The sequence below is a fragment of the Homo sapiens genome, chromosome 17 (genome assembly GCF_000001405.40).
Source record: "Homo sapiens chromosome 17, GRCh38.p14 Primary Assembly".
NCBI classification, from domain to species: Eukaryota; Metazoa; Chordata; class Mammalia; order Primates; family Hominidae; genus Homo; species Homo sapiens.
The window spans coordinates 12,453,954-12,456,295 of NC_000017.11; the positions used below are offsets into that span (position 1 = coordinate 12,453,954).

Below are 2,342 nucleotides of genomic sequence, written 5' to 3' on the forward strand. Positions count from 1 at the left end.
TGTTAGCTGGTTATTTTGCTCGTTAGTTGATGCAGTTTCTTCCTAGTCTCGATTGTCTTTACATTTTGGCATGATTTTGCAGCAGCTGGTACCGGTTGTTCCTTTCCATGTTTGGCGCTTCCTTCAGGAGCTCTTTTAGGGCAGGCCTGGTGGTGACAAAATCTCTCAGCATTTGCTTGTCTGTAAAGTATTTTATTTCTCCTTCACTTATGAAGCTTAGTTTGGCTGGATATGAAATTCTGGGTTGAAAATTCTTTTCTTTAAGAATGTTGAATATTGGCCCCCACTCTCTTCTGGCTTGTAGGGTTTCTGCCGAGAGATCTGCTGTTAGTCTGATGGGCTTCTCTTTGAGGGTAACCCGACCTTTCTCTCTGGCTGCCCTTAACATTTTTTCCTTCATTTCAACTTTGGTGAATCTGACAATTATGTGTCTTGGAGTTGCTCTTCTCGAGGAGTATCTTTGTGGCGTTCTCTGTATTTCCTGAATCTGAACGTTGGCCTGCCTTGCTAGGTTGGGGAAGTTCTCCTGGATAATATCCTGCAGAGTGTTTTCCAACTTGGTTCCATTCTCCGCATCACTTTCAGGTACACCAATCAGACGTAAATTTGGTCTTTTCACGTAGTCCCATATATCTTGGAGGCTTTGCTCATTTCTTTTTATTCTTTTTTCTCTAAACTTCCCTTCTCGCTTCATTTCATTCATTTCATCTTCCATTGCTGATACCCTTTCTTCCAGTTGATCGCATCGGCTCCTGAGGCTTCTGCATTCTTCACGTAGTTCTCGAGCCTTGGTTTTCAGCTCCATCAGCTCCTTTAAGCACTTCTCTGTATTGGTTATTCTAGTTATACATTCTTCTAAATTTTTTTCAAAGTTTTCAACTTCTTTGCCTTTGGTTTGAATGTCCTCCCGTAGCTCAGAGTAATTTGATCGTCTGAAGCCTTTTTCTCTCAGCTCGTCAAAATCATTCTCCATCCAGCTTTGTTCCGTTGCTGGTGAGGAGCTGTGTTCCTTTGGAGGAGGAGAGGCGCTCTGCGTTTTACAGTTTCCAGTTTTTCTGTTCTGTTTTTTCCCCATCTTTGTGGTTTTATCTACTTTTGGTCTTTGATGATGGTGATGTACAGATGGGTTTTCGGTGTGGATGTCCTTTCTGTTTGTTATTTTTCCTTCTAACAGACAGGACCCTCAGCTGCAGGTCTGTTGGAATACCCTGCCGTGTGAGGTGTCAGTGTGCCCCTGCTGGGGGGTGCCTCCCAGTTAGGCTGCTCGGGGGTCAGGGGTCAGGGACCCACTTGAGGAGGCAGTCTGCCCGTTCTCAGATCTCCAGCTGCATGCTGGGAGAACCACTGCTCTCTTCAAAGCTGTCAGACAGGGACATTTAGGTCTGCAGAGGTTACTGCTATCTTTTTGTTTGTCTGTGCCCTGCCCCCAGAGGTGGAGCCTACAGAGGCAGGCAGGCCTCCTTGAGCTGTGGTGGGCTCCACCCAGTTCGAGCTTCCTGGCTGCTTTGTTTACCTAAGCAAGCCTGGGCAATGGGGGGCGCCCCTCCCCCAGCCTCGCTGCTGCCTTGCAGTTTGATCTCAGACTGCTGTGCTAGCAATCAGCGAGATTCCGTGGGCGTAGGACCCTCTGAGCCAGGTGTGGGATATAGTCTCGTGGTGCGCCGTTTTTTAAGCCGGTCTGAAAAGCGCAATATTCGGGTGGGAGTGACCCGATTTTCCAGGTGCGTCCGTCACCCCTTTCTTTGACTCGGAAAGGGAACTCCCTGACCCCTTGCGCTTCCCAGGTGAGGCAATGCCTCGCCCTGCTTCGGCTCGCGCACGGTGCGCGCACCCACTGGCCTGCGCCCACTGTCTGGCACTCCCTAGTGAGATGAACCCGGTACCTCAGATGGAAATGCAGAAATCACCCGTCTTCTGTGTCGCTCACGCTGGGAGCTGTAGACCGGAGCTGTTCCTATTCGGCCATCTTGGCTCCTCCCGATCCTAGCATTTCTTCTAAGGCAGGTCTTGTGGTGATGTACTCCCTCTGCTTTTGGTTCTCTTGGAAAGCCTATCTATCCTTCATTTTTGAAGAACAGTTTTGCCAGGTATAGTATTATTGATTGGCATTTTTCCCCCGGCACTTCAAATAATTATCTCATTGCCTTCTAGCCTGCAAGGTTTCTGCTAAAAAATATGCACATAGTCATGTGGGCATTCCCTTGTACTTAACAGGTCCCTTCTGTCTTGCTGCCTTCAAAATTCAAATTTTTGAGTTTTGACAATTTGATTATAATGTTTCAGTGTGGATTTCTTTGGGTTCAATTTTTGGGGGTATTTTGGACTTCAAGGGTCTGCATGTT

At 47.6% G+C, this 2,342-nt stretch overlaps 1 annotated feature.

The window, feature by feature from the left end:
- Window positions 1,090-1,702: an enhancer, noted in NCBI's record as "NANOG-H3K27ac-H3K4me1 hESC enhancer chr17:12358360-12358972 (GRCh37/hg19 assembly coordinates)". NCBI's record gives its function as "activates a minimal SCP1, AML or CMV promoter by ChIP-STARR-seq in primed H9 embryonic stem cells {active_cell/tissue: H9 hESC(primed)}" and the evidence as "EXISTENCE:reporter gene assay evidence [ECO:0000049][PMID:30033119]".